Raw genomic sequence first — 17976 nt, 5'->3', positions numbered from 1 at the left:
ACCTCAGGTGATCCCCTACCCCTGCCTCAGCCTCCCAAAGTGTTGGGATTATAGGCGTGAGTCCCCGCGCCAGGCCCCAAACACCATTTTCTCATGAGTGGTGCTTCACATGGCTTCTTCCCAGATCTGCTTTCACTCAACTCTTTGCCCTAGGTTTTCCGAGTTCCTTGATTACCTTTGCTTGGGGTGGGAGATGGGCCTTCCTTATGCTTTAAAAAATTACCTATTTATTTTTCAGACGAGTGCAACAAGGATTTATTAAATGTAATTATATAATTTATCTGAAGGTTCCTCGAACACATAAATTGTAGGCTAAACTCTCAACCATAATCTCTAGGGTGTTTCTCAAATTCTTAGGTTTTACTGGAATTCACGGGAGTTCCATCGTATAAGCTTCTCTGTGGAATAAATGGGAGAAAGGCTTGCAAGCAGAGGTAGAACTCCTGCTGAAGGTGGTTAGAAATTGGGATTTATATTGACAGCACAGACACCGCCTGGGACTGCGCCTGGTGAGGCAGGAGATCTGGTTACTCTAGCAGTAAGAGTCTGTGACCTTCATAAAAGTAGAAAGCAATGTGCCCAGTTCACCGTCTGCGTGTGTGTTAGAGGCATAAGCAAGGTTCTCAAGGGTAAAGAGAGCCAGATCTGAGTTTGCTGGCTGAACTTACCTTACATGGTGCTGGGGAGAGAGCTGGGGGAGGGAAGGCAGGCGGGGATTACTCACAAGGATTCAGAGTCCGCCCCATGACATAGATTGATAGCTCCCTATGGGGCTTTGGTGAGCCCTACACCTTTTAAAATTTCACATAAAGCTTCGACTGGAGAAGCATCTGAACCACATACCAGCAAATCTCTGGACACGGCAACACATTCAGACTCTTCTATTTGAGGAAAACATTGGCCAAAACAAGTAGGGCTTTTCTTCAATTCAGCTTCCTAGTGGTCATGATCTTTGCAGCCCAGAAAGCAAAATTTAAGCAGACTTCTTTTGGTGACTTGTTTTGTTTTGTTGTTTTAAAAATGGTATAATTATTTTTTAAAGCTTGTACTTCCTTTTTGGCACTCTTACAGAATTGCCACCAGGCCTAAGAGCTAGAATGGGAAAAGAAAGAGTAGGTGACAGTGTCACAGAGATGCGAATTAGGGAAAGGTCTTCAATACGGAAATATCTTTAATATCCTGCCTGGCTACGACAGTGACAGGACCTTTCTTGGATAAGCTCTCATGAACCTACGATAATTAGGTTTTATTACGTCATATTGAACAGCCTTTCCTAATACGGCAGCCTTTTCCTAATGCGGTGGTGCTCAAGGCTCTCCCTGATTTTATTCCTGCTTATCTCTCTAGCCCTGTCTCTCAAACTCGCTTCAGTCATAGTGTATGTTCTAGATATATTCAACCTCTTCTAGTGCTCTTCCCCCAACGCCCCACATAGAAGTCAGTAAAGACATTAAGAAGAGTTATTTTAGATCTCCAGTTCCTTTTAATTGCTATCTTCTCTGTAGAGAATGTTCTTCCTTTGACCTCACTCCTTCTCTGGTTTTAACTCTCAGTGGTCACTGCTTCCAGGAAGCCCTCCCAAACTCCCTCTCTTACTCCTCCCCAGGCTGAGTTAGGATTCCTTCTCTTTGCCTCCTTAATATCTATGTAGCTAGAACTTTGCGCTATATTATTTTATAACTACCATATACATTCATGAGTGGATGAATCAATGTTTGTCACCATTGGACTAAAAGCAAATTAATTTTTTTTTTGAGACAGGGTCTGGCTCTATCACCCTGGGTGGAGTGCAGTGGTGTGATCTCAGCTCACTGCAAGCTCCACCTCCCAGTCTCAAGCCATCCTCCCACCTCAGCCTCCCAAGTAGCTGGGACTACAGGCACGTGCCACCACTCCTGGCCAGTTTTTTGTATTTTTAGTAGAGATAGGGTTTTGCCATGTTGTCCAGGCTGATCTTGAACTGGTAAGCTCAAGTGATCTCCCTGCCTCAACCTCCCAAAGTGCTGGGATTACAGGCGTGAGCTACAGTGCCTGGCCTAGCAAATTAATTTTCTTAATGTATGAATTTCATCTAAACTTTATGTTTATTTTTTTTAAACATTTAAAAAAATGTATCCCTACCACGGCTCACTACAACTTCTGTCTCCCTGGCTCAAGCAATCCTCCCACCTCAGCCTCCCAAGTAGTTGGGACTGCAGGCACGAGCCACCACGCCTGGCTAATTTTTGTATTATTTGTAGAGACGGGGTTTCACCATGTTGGCTGGGCTGGTCTCGAACTCCTAAGCTCAAGTGATCTTCCTGCCTCGACCTCCCAAAGTGTTGAGATTACAGGTGTGAGCAACCATGCCTGGCCTAAACTTCATTTTTACGTTAGATTACAAAATAATAACTGTATGACATTAAAAAATTTAGAAAATTATGCTATTTAAGGAGTCACCCACTAAACAAAGGCATTCCTTCTCTAATGTTCCAGATTCTCCATTTTATCACCACACTCTTTAGAGACTTTGCTCCAAGTCTGCAGTAAACTTAAGCAAATTTATTGCTTAGAAGTCAAAGTAGAAAGTTGTTTACTGCTGTATCTCTAAAGACTAACACAGGCCTGACATACAGTGGGTGTTGAATAAATGAAGCTTTATCCCAGTTTTTCTATATGTGGTCCCATTTCTCTATTTCCTTTTTTTTCATTTTCATTTTTTAAAATCAAAATGCCAATCTGTAAGAATGAGGGAGGGGCCTTCAGAGAGTACTGTCTCAAAGGTGATAAAAGTCAACCTTTGGGAGACCACTGGTGCATTTGAAACAGTCACAGACTTGGTTTCCAAACCAGCCCTTTCCCACCTCCTCACTCAGAAACAAACTGGACTTTAATGGTTGGCACAGTGAATGTGGAGTAGGTGTTTCCAGGGCTCGATAAAATTGCACATGAACCTGAGAAAACAACTGGTTGACACATTTCCAAGAAAGACAGGTGTGCAAACGATTCCTGCTGAGCGTAGGTGCGATGCTGTTTACATTACTACTCTTGAGCCCAGCTTTGCTTTCCCATTTCCTCAGAGTAAATATGTGCACATATTAGATATAAGCAGATGCATGGAATTTACATGCAACTGTGTTATCAGATCTGAGTAACACAGGTTTTGTTGGCCCCACAATAATGGATCTGTATTTAACTCTCAGTTTATTACATGTCAGCTTTAGTTTTCTTGGAAATGAGAAATGCATGTATTTGAATGATTATTTTAAAGGAAAATGGTGATAACATAATGAATAGGAAGTGTCGCTTCCAAACTGCTATTAGTGGGCATACAAGGTCATTTTTTCCAATGTCCTTTTTAATTAAGCAAACACGGAAAGTATTTGAACAGCATCTTTATTTTTGAAGAAGTGCGTCATCTCAATTAGTGGAGGTCTGTAAATACTGAGGGAGAAAGTGGTTAGCAAAGTTCAAATATATTTTATTTTTCAATCTTCTGAAATATTGATGATTATTATATGTTCAAATGGTAAACTTTAAAAAATCATAATTCCAAAAGCTGGACATTAGGACTTAAAGTTTATAGAATCTGTTCCACAAATTAATATCACTAAAAAATTTAGCAAAAAGCAGGGTAACCTACCTTTTGAATTTCTGAATGCAGGCAAGAATGTGAAGCAGTCTGATCTATTCATTAAGCGCACATGAGTGTAATTATTTTTAGCTGTACAGATAAACCAATGGAATTTGAGATGGCTAGAATATTCAGGCTAGATTTCCTGCTTAATTATTCAAAACACAAATGAATACCCAAACAAAGGAAGATGGTTGTGATTATATCATTCAAAATATAATAGGGTTGAGTTTTGTCAAAGTTTTCTTCTGTAGAAGTCCAAAACTTGGGAATTACCAATTCAATGTACAATAAGGAGGTATCATTGGATAAAATCCTTTCGTAGCTATCCAAGGCTGAGGCACCTCTGACTTCTGATTATACATATATTGGACATGTTAATTACAGTGCCTCCTGTCATTTTTTTTTAAACAGTAGAAAACACACTGGCCATAGCCCCCTGCTTAGTGAGGCAGTATCTGACTTAGCTGTGCAGGCATGGCTTCTGATGGGGCCAACATTAAGCATCAAACCCAAGGTCAGATGTGAAGGTTTTGCCCTATAGCAGGTTAGTAATGAGCTAAGCCAACCTGATAAATTTCCTTCAAAACGGTTTCTCCTTCTTCTTCTTCTTCTTCTTTTTTTTTTTTTTTTTTTGAGATAGAGTCTCACTCTATCGTCCAGGCTGGAGTGCAGTGGCATGACCTCGGCTCATTGCAACCTCTGCCACCTGAGTTCAAGCAATTCTCCTGCCTCAGCCTCCCGAGTAGCTGTGATTACAGGTGCCTGCCACTATGCCCAGCTATTTTTTGTATTTTTAGTAGAGACGGGGGTTTCACCATCTTGGCCAGGCTGGTCTTGAACTCCTGACCTCTTGATCCGCCCGCCTCGGCTTCCCAAAGTGCTGGGATTACAGGCATGAGCCACCGCACCCGGCCCCAAAACTGTTTCTTGGGGTGTAAGTCCCCAAATTCCTGGGGAATACAGAGTAGATTCACAGAAAGATGGGGCAGGCATAGAGAGCAAAGCAGTGGCGCTTTGAAAGAGAGACCACATAGGCTGTAAGAGAAGTGGAGAGGAGAGTTGTCTCAAGTACTACTTAGTATTCTCATAGCTTTTAGGCTCTGGTACCCACCTATATTTATAATACATCCCCATTTTTATTAAGGTGGCCTGAGTAAATCTCTGCCCTTGGTAATCAAGGGTCTAATGACTGTACTCAACAGATAAAAATTAGCTGCATAAAACCCTACAGCCACTGAAGAGAGAGCACTTGCTAAGTAGAGTCTCTTAATAGAAGGATAAATGGAGAAAAGAGACAGGCTGGAAGTGCTAACTCCTTAAAAGCTCCAAACAAATGCCAGAGACTCTCCCCAGCCAATTCATGAGGGCCTCATGAGACAATAACCATATTGAGATCAACAATCATTGAAGAGGAGGTTCCTAAGATAATGAAATAAAAGTTCTAGCAATTATTTGTTTCTGTAAGAATTCCCTTCCCCATAATAACACATTTGGTCAAAAAGCTTTTGATTTTTTGGAACTGCTATTTAAAATTTCAAGTACCTGGGTATAAATTAGAGGTACTAAAGATTTAGCTCACATTGACAGTTTCAAACAGATAATTAACATATATTCCTTTAAAATTATTATTTTCTGGAAGGCAGTAAATATGCACTTGTAAAATCTTTCTTTGTGAAATGTACAAAGAAATATTTAATCAATGCTTTGCATGGTAACAGTGGTGGTAGATGAAGATTACAATGAGAGTGTAGATAATTATGAAGAAGAGCATAATTTCTGTCTTTTAAGTAGAGAACCAATTTGGCTGTCTAAATTAGAGCTATTGCCTAATCTGTCAAATCAAAAGCCAGAATGACAAGGGGATGGATATTTTGTTAATGGTGTCATAGATGTGTGCTAATCTAAAAATGCTCTTAGTAATGCAGGATTCTACAGAACTTAGAGAAGTAATGCATTGTAAAAAGAGATCAAAAAGATCACACAAAATTAATTGTGTACAGATTTATAAATTATATAGTAAGGCCATGTTCTTCAATTACATTGGTAACGTTAATTACACATAATCGCATTTCTAGTTCGTGTGCTTATGTAATTTTACTAAAGCTTTACTACAATGGAACAAGTTTCAGCACATGGAAATAATTTTAAAGTAAATATTTAATAATATTATATAATAAAAAATTTAAAAATGCTCTTGCAGTTTGACAACACTCCATCCACTTCCAAACAGTAAACACGTTCAACCAATTTTATAATCTACAAATCTGGTAAGTTTTTCCTAAAACCAACCAGAAATGGTATTTTTAATCGTACGTAAGTCATGCATCAGGATGAAAGCTGTATTGGTTTTTCTGAGTTAGTTCCTAAAATCATCCCTGCACAAAAAATTATTAGCTCTTCTCACATGTATGAATATGACAAAATATACACATGAATACAAGTATCCAGACATGACATATAACCTCATTATCTTGTGTTTTCAATTAAAAAAATTTGTATCCCCCCACCCCGCTTTTTTTTGAGACAGAGTCTCACTCTGTGGCCCAGGCTGGAGTGCAGTGGCACGATCTCGGCTCACTGCAAGCTCCACCTCCTGGGTTCACACCATACTCCTGCCTCAGCCTCCCGATTAGCTGGGACTACAGACGCCCACCACCATGCCCGGCTAACTTTTTGTATTTTTAGTAGAGATGGGGTTTCACCATGTTAGCTAGGATGGTCTCGATCTCCTGACCTCGTGATCTGCCCAGCTCGGCCTCCCAAAGTGCTGGGATTACAGGCGTGAGCCACCGTGCCCAGCCTGTATCCCCTTTTATATAACTTGGGTTCCTTCTGGCCAAGTTTGAATTTGAATCCCTTCAGACTTGGGACCCGCAAAAATCTGTGACCCCATGAACCTTGATCATCACAGTCTCTGTTGTAGGTGGACTCACTACTCATCAGCTGTGTGGCCTTGGGCAGCTCTCTATCTATTTCTCAGTTTCCTATCTATGATATAAAATGATGGGTTAAGTAGACCAGGTGTTCTCAAATAATGCTCCATAAGGCCTTGGTGTGTCTGTGAATACTCCCTGAGGACCACTGGGTCGGGTGGGGGCAGTGGGCACTAGCTGCTTGGGCTCTGGACTTTCTGAGGTACCTGCTCAAATGGAGTAGCTTTACTCATGCCTACTGGATTTATTGGACTTCTATATGAACTTTCATTTGATGAAAGAGCTAGAAGGCCAAAAAGAGGTTTGTAAACCACTAGTCTAGATAAAAGTTAAGACTCCTGCTTTGTCCTAGAATTAAATTATTCAACTTTGCATTGAAGTGATATAAAACACCTGAATGAGTCTAGCATGAAATAATGCTAAAAAAAATACCTATTGGATGAATGGAGTTCCTGCCCTTAAGGGATTTATAGTCAAATGGAAAACCTTCCTCATCCTAGAAAATACTATAGTTAAAATACTACTTCTTTTATCCTATTGCCATTATAATTTTAATTGTTTCTTAATATTTTAATTTTGTAAGTAGCAAAAGAGAATGTCTAGGGATTCTAGGAAGATGGCAGAGTGGAAGGCACCAGGCATTTCTCTCCCCATCCAGACAAGGATTGTAATGGCAGAATCTGTCTGATGTAACTGTTTTGGAACTCAGGAATCTATAGAAGGTTGCAAATTCCAGGAGAAGGCTTAGGCAGTAAATTGCATTTAATGTTGGTCAATTTCAGCTCTTGGCAGGTAGCAGTAGCACTCATCCTCCACCCCAGCTACACGACAGGCACCTGTGCAGGAGCTCCTGGAGCTCCCGGAGTTCCTGGAGTGACTTGTAGGCAGCTTGTAGGAGCTGGGGTGGGTAAAAAGGATCCTGTCCTCCAAACATCAGGGATCTGTATTTGGATCACTGATTGCTTCTTCTGATCACAGAGATACAGACAAAGAGGCTAATGGCCATTGTGGTTGCACCTCCCCGCCATTTTTGCAAGCACTTCCCCGCTAGTAGAAGTGATTTCCAGGAGATTTAAAAGGCTGGTGCCCTTTTCTGTCTCCCTTCATTTTTCTTTTTTCTCCCTTTTGGGTGCCAGACATTGAAGACTATAACATTTGAAAACCACTGCATATATGGGGAGCATTAGAAAGTGACTGCACATACCCAGGAAAAGACCCGCGTTCAGAAAAGACCTGCAAAGACCTAAGTTTACAACTGACACTGATCTTTGGCACAGAGACAGTCTACAACATCAGAAACACAAACAATAAAACATAAACACAAAACCCAGAAAATCCTGGGAAAGGGGGAGAACCTGAGTTCCAGAGTTAGCAGATTATTAGATTCAAATGCCTGGTTTTCAACAAAAAATTGCAAAGCATACAAAGAAGCAGGAAAATATGGCTTATTCAGAGGAAAAAAGAATAAACAGAAACTGTCTCTGAAAAAGACCTGATGGCATAGCTACTTGACAAAGACTTTAAAGTAACCATCTTAAAGATATTCAACAAACTAAAAGATGTGGAGACTGTCAAGAATAAGATGTATGTACAAAATGGCAATACCAACAAATAGAAAACATAAAAAGAAACAAAAAAGAAATTCTGGAGCTGAAAATACGATGACCAAAAATGAAAAACTCAGTAGAGGAATTCAAATGTAGATTTGAGCAGACAGAAGAAAGAACCAGCAAACTTGAAGATAGGATAATAGAAATCAAGTCTGAGGAACAGAAAAAAAAAAAAGAGTGAAGAAAATTGCATAGAGCTTAAAGGATCTGTGGGACCATCAAACAGACCAATATACACATTGTGGAAGTCTCAGAAGAAAAGAGAGACAGAAAGGGGGCAGAGAGAATGTCTGTAGAAATAATGGCTAAAAACATCCCAAATTTGATGAAAGACATAAATGTAAACTTTCGAGAAGCTCAAAGAACTCTAAGTAAGATAAACTCAGAGACCCACAGTGAGAGACATTATAATCAAACTTTCGAAAGCCAAACACAAAGAGAGAAAGCAGTATGAGAGAAGGAACTCATCATATATAAGGGATCCGTGATAAGATTATCCACAGATAATCACTGGGAACTTTAGAGGCAGATGGCAGTGGGCCAATATATTCAAGGTGCTAGAAAAAAACCCAAACAAATTGTCAGTCAAGAATCCTATATCTGGCAAAGCTGCCTTTCAAAAGTGAGGAAGAAATTAAGACATTCCCAGATAAATGCGGAGGAAATTTGTTATCTCTAGACTTGCCCTACAAGACCAAGGGAGTCCTGGAGGTTGAAATGGAAAGACACCAGATAATCACTTGAAGCTGCATGAAGAAATAAAGCTATAAATACAGGTAAATATATTGGCAATTATAAAAGCTAGCATTATTGTAATAATGATTTGTAACTGCACTTTCTGTTTTCTACATGATTTAAGAGACTAAAACATTAAAAGAAACAATTACTAGTCTAAAAGCTATTAGTATTGTAAACTGATTTGTAAATTCACATTTTGTTTTTCATATGATTTAAGAGGTTAATGCATTCTGAAGAATTATTAGTTTATGTTTTGGACACACAATATATAAAGATGTAATTTTGTGACACCAAAACCCAACAGGAGTGGGAATGGAGCTGTTAAAGAAGGAAAGTTTTTGTATGTTGTTGAACTTAAGCTGGTATAAATTCAAGTTAGAGTGTTACAACTTCAGGATGTTAAATATAATCCCCATGTTAACCACAAAGAAAATAGCTATAGAATACATATAATGAGAAGGGAATTTAAATAATTCACTATAAAAAATCAACTAAACACAATAGAAGACAGCAATGCAGGAAGTGAGGGACCACAAAAAGGTATAAGACATATAGAAAACAAATAGCAAAATGACAGAAATATCACTCCTTATCAGTCATTACTTTCAATGTAAACGAGTTCAATTCTCCAATCAAAAGTCAGAGATCAGCAGAATGTATTAAAAAACAGAATTCAACTGTGTACTGTCTATAAGAGACTTACTTTACATTTAAAGACACAAATAGATTGAAAGTGGAAGGAGGAAAGAGATATTCCATGCAAATAGTGTCCAAAAAGGAGCAGGAGTAGCTGTACTAATATCAGACAAAATAAACTTTAAATCAAAAATGTTTGCAAGAAACAAGGACATTATATATTAATAAAAGTTTCACTCCAGCAAGAAATAATAATTATAAATATTAATATTTACACACCTAATAAGCAACCATCATACATGAAGCAAAACTTCACAGAAACAAAGAGAGAAATAGTTCTATGATACTAGTTGGAGACTTTATTACCCCACTCTCAAAAATGGACAGGCCAACAAGACAGAAGATAAATATGGAAACCAAGCGTTTAAACGACACAATAAATCAACCAGATCTAACAGACATACAGAGCATTGTAGCCAACAATAGTATACGCATTCTTCTCAAGTGCACATATGACATTTTCCAGGATAGACCATATGTTAGGCCACAAATTAAGTCTCAATAGATTTAAGAAGATAGTTATAAAAAATATCCTCACTGACCACAATGACAAGAGAGTTTGGAGAATGCAGTTTGCAGAATTCCAGTTTCAGTGGTACAGAGGGCTGGGTGTGGAGCTGAGAGACAAAGGTCACTAAGGGACTTTTAGTGTGCTGCTCCTGGAAACTCCCAGTTTTGGAATCTACAGTGCTAAATATATTAGAGGTTTTTTTTTTCACAAAACAATAATGATTGACTAAAAGGCATAAATGTATCAAAGACTTTTTTTTGGAAATATCAAAGATATTTCACATCCTGCTAAAGGCACGTTAATCAAATTTATCCCCGACCCCAAACCAGAGGATAGGAGGCCACTATATAAAGTTCATCAGAATCGATATTCAAAATTATCTCAGTGGAAGAACTACAATTCACAAATCACCACGATAAAACCTAACAGGAATAGATAAATGCATAGTTTTCATCTGGGTTAAAAGAATCTTGTCTATTCACTTGTTTTACATATAGCAAACGTATGAACCATAAATGTGATATGAACCATATGATGAGGCTCCTAGAAAAATTAACTACAACTGTCAGCTGTATTAATAAGAATATACTTTCTATATCTAGGAGGGTCGTGACACTACTGTACTCAATGGTATTTGTAATACTAATAATTCCTTTGCAACTGCGAGATCTCTGCATACAAAGTTCAAATTTACAGAGGCCTACCTTAGTGTATCATTTTGACAAGTGGAGGAGTTTGTAGTGCGTAGATATGTGAAAAATCCTACTTCACTCGTAGGTTTTCCATCAGAGTATTGGTAAAGACAACAGGAACATCAAAACATTCCTTTGTGTTTCAGACAAGTGATTTCATACTCCATCAGATCCAAAGCCCCTTTTGATAACTAGCTTGTAATAATCTTTTCTCTGTCATGAAAAAAAATTTATTGATAGGGTAACTTAAACACAAAATGTTATACAATTAAAAATGATGTCATATATAATATGAAAGAAAAATAAAAGGTATTTCAGTGTAGAGATTCTCAGTTGCTATATAAGAAAATTAAGTATTAATTATTAAGTATTAATAGTTAGAAGCTTGCTCCTTGTTACAATGAATAATTTCAGATTTACAATAAGTAAGAACAATATTCTACTAAATGTTTTCCACACTCTGTCCTTATATTTGAAATTTAAAAATAAGGGTTAAATAAGTATATTTCTGTTATGACCCAGAATATAATTTATCTTCATGAATGTTCTATAGTTGGGTGGAGTGTTCCATAAATGGTGGTCAACTTTGCTTATAGTGTTGTTCAAATCTATTTTCTTACAGACTTTCTGCTTGTATCAATTATTGATAGAGGAGTGTTGAAATTGCAAAGTATTTTACTTCTTCTTTCGGTTCTGTCAAGTTTTTGTGTCCCTGGTACATAAACACTTAAGATTATTATGTCCTTTAGTAGGTGCATAGACATCTAAGATTTTTATGTCTTCTTGATGAATTGACATCTTTACCATTAAGAAATGCCTGATTTTGGCTGGGCGTGGTGGCTCACACCTGTAATCCCAGCACTTTGGGAGGCTGAGGCGGGTGGATCACCTGAGGTCGGGAGTTCGAGACCAGCCTGACCAACAAGGAGAAACCCCATCTCTACTAAAAAAATACAAAAATTAGCTGGGCGTGGTGGCATGTGCCTGTAATCCCAGCTGCTCGGGAGGCTGAGGCAGGAGAATGGCTTGAACCTGGGAAGCAGAGCTTGCAGTGAGCCGAGATCATGCCACTGCACTCCAGCCTGGCTGACAGAGTGAGACTCTGTCTCAAGAAAACAAACAAACAAAAAAAGAAATGCCTGATTTTTACTTCTAGGAATATTTCTTGTTCTGAAATTTACTTTATATGATATTAATGTAGCTCCTTCAACTTTGTTTTGTGTATTCATTGTATGTCTTTTTCCATCATTTTACTTTTAGTCTTTCTGTTACTTTATATTTAAAATGTTTTCCTCACAGACAGCACAGTAGTTAGGCCTTGCTTTTTTATCTGACAATCTCCATCCTTTAATTGGAGTGTCTTTGTTTTATTTTTTAGTAGTTGCTCTAAGGTTTATAAAACACATCTAACTCATAGTTTACCTTCAAATTATATACATATAGTATAAGCACCTTACAATAGTATGTCTTCATTTTCTTCCTTCTGTCCTTGTGCTACGGTTTCTTACATGTTATTGTCATACATTATGCTGTTTTGTCATACATGCCTCCACAATACTTGCTATTATTGTTGCTTTAAATAATCTGTATCTTTTAAAGAGATTAAAATTGGAAGAAAAAGTATTTTATATGTTCCTACACACTCATCATTTCCACACTCTTCACTCACTTGTGTAGAAGCAAATTTCCTTTTAGTATTATTTTCCGTCTGTCTGAAAGACTTTTTTTCACGTAGCTTGTAGTGCATTCTTCTGGTGATGAATTCTTTCAGCTTTTGTATATCTAAATAAGACTTTTTTATTTTTACTTTCTTAAGCTATTTTATCTGGGTATAGAATTCTAGATCAAAGCTTTTTTTTTTTTTTTAGTAGTTTAAAGATGTTGCTTCATTGCCTTCTGGCTTGCAAAATTTCTGATGAGAAGTCTGCTGTCATTTTTATCTTTGTTCCTCTATATGTAATGTGTCCCATCATCCCTCTCCTGGAAATTTTAAGATTTTTTTCTTTATGACTGATTTTATGGTCTTTCTTGGTTTGAATTTTTTTTTTTTTAATTTTTCTTGAAGTTCCTTGAGCATCCCAAATCTGAGAGTTCAGAGCTTTCATCAAATTTTGACAATTTCAGCAATGATTTCTTTAAAGGTTTTTTTCTGTCCTTCTCACCCACTCTATTTGCTACTCCAGTTATACATGGTTTAGACCACTTACCTTCTGATATTCCTCCATACAACACTGATGCTCTGTTAATTTTTTCTAGTCTTTTTCTCTTTGTGCTTTATTATTGCTATGTCATCAAGAATACTGATCTTCTCTTCTACAGTGTGTAAATTGCTATCAAACCTATCTAGTGTTTTTTTCTTCCCTATGAGATATCATATTTATTATTAGTATTTAGTCAAAGATTTGAGAGAACCCTTTGCAAATCTTGAGAGTGTGCTCTCTTTCTCTCTCTTTCTCTCTGTGCAGCTTTCTCCTTTCCAGTACTTTGTCCCACAAATCTAGCCACCTTGCCTTCCTTAACTTTGATCTCTGTTTCCTTAACTCAGTGAGACTGTTGGCTGCATGCTGTGGCTTGAAAACTGCCTCCAGGCAGGAAGCTGGGGCAATCACATCATTCAGCTCAATTGATTCTCTTCTTTCAGGGTTCACAGTCCCACAGCATTACCAGTTGTTTAATGTCTGAAAACTGTTGTTTCATATATTTTGCCAAATTTTCAATTTGTGCATGGAAGAAGGATAATTCCTGTAGCTGTTAATTTTTCATAAATGGAAGTGAAAGTCTAAATAAGTAAATTTGAAAGTTAATATGTTATCATCGTAAATGCAATAGTTACAAAAACTGAGACAGCTGCTCTTTTATTGGTGCCTCCAATACCATAAGCACTTGTTGATGGTGATTTTCTTCAATAGTCAATTACTTTTGGTAAATTTTCAAACAAAACAAGTCTCAATCTTTCCTCAGTTTACATGATATTTGCATTCCTGGAAATTCCTTATATATTAACACAGAGCAAAAATGCTTTGTGTTCATATGTAAAATGGAGTTAAGTTCTGGGCTCAGATAATATAAACAGGTTTTTCCTTACAGAAAATTCACGTAAGATGTGGAACCATAACTCCTTGGGTAAGACTGTGATATGGGATCCTTGACCCTTATTGAAAACCACCACCTACATAATTAGTACCTTTCACACGTAACATATTTTGTCTGTTGGATGCATAACCATGGAGTAATCCTGAGGCCCACATGCTCTTGGAAAAGCAATAAATAAGTTATGTCTTCATTACAACTTTCATCATCAGGGAAAGGGGGGAGATACATGATGTTTTGCCAAGATAATTAACTTATTTTATAATAAGTGAATCTATTTTTAGTTAAGATTTAAAAGAAGTACCTCTTTCTGCCAAAAGACAATGTAAAATGTCACCACTATTCATACAACAGATAAAAAATATTTATTGAGTTCTATTATGTGCCAAGTATTGAGGATTCACGAGTGACTCAGACAAGAATCCCTGTTCTCATGGAGCCTACGTTTACTATGGTTTGTGGAGAAAAACTGGCAATCAAAGGAAATGCCCACACGTCCCTCACATTGTGAGAGTTGTGACATCACACCTTTCCATTAACTAGTAAAACAAGTTATGACAATTTTAGAGAGTATAACACAAAAGCAAAAGCCTCTATCAAAATCTTTCGGTCAGGGTTCCATACTTAAGGACCTTGAGGAAATGCATAAATAAAGTTGCAGATGATTTATTTCAACTCTATTAATAGGTTCAAAGACATTTCCAACTAATCCTGTTCAAACCACACTTTGTACTTTACTGAAACTGAGGAAAAAAGCCTCTCTCTTACTTTTGCCTAGTAAGAGAACACAGTTACCCAGGATCACCTTGGCTTTTGAGACTTTATTGGTTTGGCTCAGATCCCACTTTCAGACCTCATTTCCTTAGATTTGGCAACTTGAGTTCTGGACTGATGACCACTTAGCCTATTTGGACTGATTCTCTGAGCTACCTACTCTCCTATGTGGTGACGTGGCTTTAGCCCAGAGCCACAGGTAGAATGCACTTTGTCCCACTCCCACCAGGCAGCTGCAATGCCAATGTGGGACCACGTTTGTCAATTAAAGATCCGCAACAATATGAAATGTGTAGCCACAAAAATAAAACTTGGTGTCAGGAGCCCAGGGTCCAAATCTCTGCTCCCAAATCTATTTCATGTGGATCCTGGTGTAAATCAATTAATTTTTTTCTTCTGAGTCTCAATGGCCTCACCCTTAAAATGAGGACAATAATAACCTTGTTCATCAGATTGCGTTGAGGATTGTAACAAAACCGTGTGTTCCAGAATGCTTTGCAAGCCACACAGCACCATAATAACCTACACTGCTGCTGTGGTAAGTGATGACGAGGAGGAGAAGTGGCCTGTTGAAAGGACCCAAAGCCTGCAAAGGCTATAGATCACTGGCCTGCACATCTGAATGCAATGTACGTTTTGCTGCTTATCCTGATTAGACAACAACAAGTTTTTGCTCTTAATACTATTTCCAATTTTTACTTTTCTTTTGGATTTGTTGTCATTCCTTCCAGTCTAGTCTAAACATCATTTAGTTTGGTGCCCAGGAGATAGTGAAAAAGCTGGTGCCCAGCTTTTTCTTCCTTGGTGTGGGAGCTTCTGCCTGGGGCTGACCTCCTTCTCTGGGTTAAGGTCCTGTGGAGCTGTCTTAAACTGACCGACCTGAAGTAGACCCAGACACACCTGTAAACTACTTACCTTGCAGGGGTGGTGCCAGGCCTGGGGCTAAGAGGGCATGCCTGCTCCTGTGATCTGTGAGGCCTAGTAAAACATGATTAAGGCTCTGCTTGCTGTGTGGGAGTCAACAATGCCATTATAGCCTCCCTTGGCAGATGGTGGGCAAGAGTTCCTGCACTAATAAGAATTTCTTGCTGGATCATCAAAATGCATTTCCCTTTTTGGGTTGGACCTCGTAGAACATCCTATGTTTGAGGCTTCAGCATCTGTGTTTCATGGTCAGTCTGACCTCTCTCTAAACAAGAGATCTGGAAAGAAACACTTTTCCAGGAAATCATCCACAGGCAGTTGACTTTGACCTTCCGCCATACTCCTTTCATTCCACCCCCAGCAGTTTCTCATGGATACCAAATATGTGTCTTGGGATAATTGGACTAAACAGGTTTGTCCGATTATTTACAAGCTCCTTTCAGTTTATTTGTTTACTTGTTTCAATTTTGCATGGGCCATTTTAATATTTTTTTGTGGTTCAGACAAAACCCACATATATCACAGTGTTTTAGATTAGTTAGGATTCTCTATGATGTGATTAATATAATAATCCATTTTCGGCCTCTGTAGTGAATCAGATGCTTTATATACATGATCTGATTTCATCTTTGTAATGCTCCAGAGCAGGCATTATTATCCCCCTTTTAAAGATGAGGCTTAGAGGGGTAAAATCATTTGTTTAAAGCTATGTAGTTAATCATTATCGGAGCTGGAATTGGAGCCTAGGTGGATTTAAGTCCAAGTCTATGCTCTTTCCTCTATACCATAGTGGCTCTTGACTCTTTACTTACTCTTTGGCATGGCAGTGGAAATCAGTACTATTAATATATGAATTTCAGGTTAAGTTCCCTTCAGTTTTTCTGTGCAGGCATAGAGGATAGGATATAAATAGTTCCAGTTTTTTTTTTTTTTTTTTTTTTTTGGACGGAGTTTCACTCTTGTTGTCCAGGCTGGAGTGCAATGGCGCGATCTCGGCTCACTGCAACCTCTGCCCCCTGGGTTCAAGCGATTCTCCTGCCTCAGACTCCCAAGTAGCTGGGATTACAGGTATATGCAACCACGCCCAGCTAATTTTGTATTTTTAGAAGAAATGGGGTCTCTCCATGTTGGTCAGGCCGGACTCGAAATCCCAACCTCAGGTGATTCGCTCGCCTTGGCCTCCCGAAGTGCTGGGATTACAGGTGTGAGCCACAGCGCTCAGCCTTTTTTTTTTTTTTTAATCATGCCACATTGTTTTTAATTACATACAAAGATCTAACATGTCACCCAGGGACCACTTCACCCACTGCTTGGTTTGGCCGCCAGTCTTTGTCTCTCTCTTCAGCGATGGTGAGGCGGATATCCTGTCCTTGGGAAAGAGAAATCCATGGTTTATTGCTCTTGCCAATAACAAAAATGTTGAAAAGTCGAGTGGCAAAGCTGTTGCCATTGGCATCTTTAACATAAACTACGTCAAAAGATCCAGGGTGCTTCTCTCAGTTGATGATCACACCAATTCTTCCCAGGTTAGTACCTCTAGTCACCAGTGTCGAACTCGATGAAATCAATACTCTTGCCAGTCTCCAAATCAATCTGAATGGTATCATTCACCTCGATGAGGGGTCAGGGTAGCGGACGGTGCAAGCATCATGAGTCACCAGGTGAGGGATTCCTTTTGTGCCCACAAAGATTTTTCTCAGTTTGCACAACTTGTACTTGGCCTCCTCAGGTGTAATACAATGTACAGCAAAGCGATCCTTGGTGTCATAGATCAGACGGAAATTCTCTCTTGTCAATGCTGATGACATCCATGAATCCAGCAGGGTAGGTTGTATCAGTTCAAACCTTGCCATCGATCTTAATGAACTGCTGCATGCAAATCTTCTTTACTTCATCTCCTGTCAGGGCATATTTAAGTCTGATCCTTAGGAAAATGATGATGGGGAGAGACTCTCTCAACTTGTGGGGACCAGTGAATGGATGAGGAGCAAACACACCAGTCAATTTATCCAGCATCCAGTGCTTTGGAGCTGCTACCAGCTTCAGATGCTTCTTGGGACCACGAGCCATGGCTGCGTTAGGCAAGGAAAGAGGACCTCTGTCTTCTGGTGCGCATAGAAATTCAGTAGTTCCAGTTTTTACAAATCAATATGTTTCTTGAAAACATGCCAAGAAGCAGATTGTCATGAAGCATACCGAGCATCCAGGGCTATGTCCAGTTATTGATAGTGAGAAGTAAAGGAGAAAGCAATGAACAGTGTTGAATGATAGACAGACACCAAGCATCGACCCTCTTCAGTCCCTCTGCTCATAGTAGACATGTAATCATTAAGAAACACAAATTCGATTATGCCTTTACCACACTCTATAAATTTGCTTTGATCTGTGTGAT

The 17976-nt window shown here is 38.7% G+C and overlaps 1 pseudogene; it reads right to left on the bottom strand.

The window, feature by feature from the left end:
* RPS4XP8 (ribosomal protein S4X pseudogene 8) lies at positions 16822–17707 on the bottom strand (annotated as a pseudogene).

This window comes from Homo sapiens, chromosome 6 (assembly GCF_000001405.40).
Source record: "Homo sapiens chromosome 6, GRCh38.p14 Primary Assembly".
NCBI classification, from domain to species: domain Eukaryota; kingdom Metazoa; phylum Chordata; class Mammalia; order Primates; family Hominidae; genus Homo; species Homo sapiens.
This window is presented reverse-complemented; position numbering and strand designations above follow the sequence as displayed.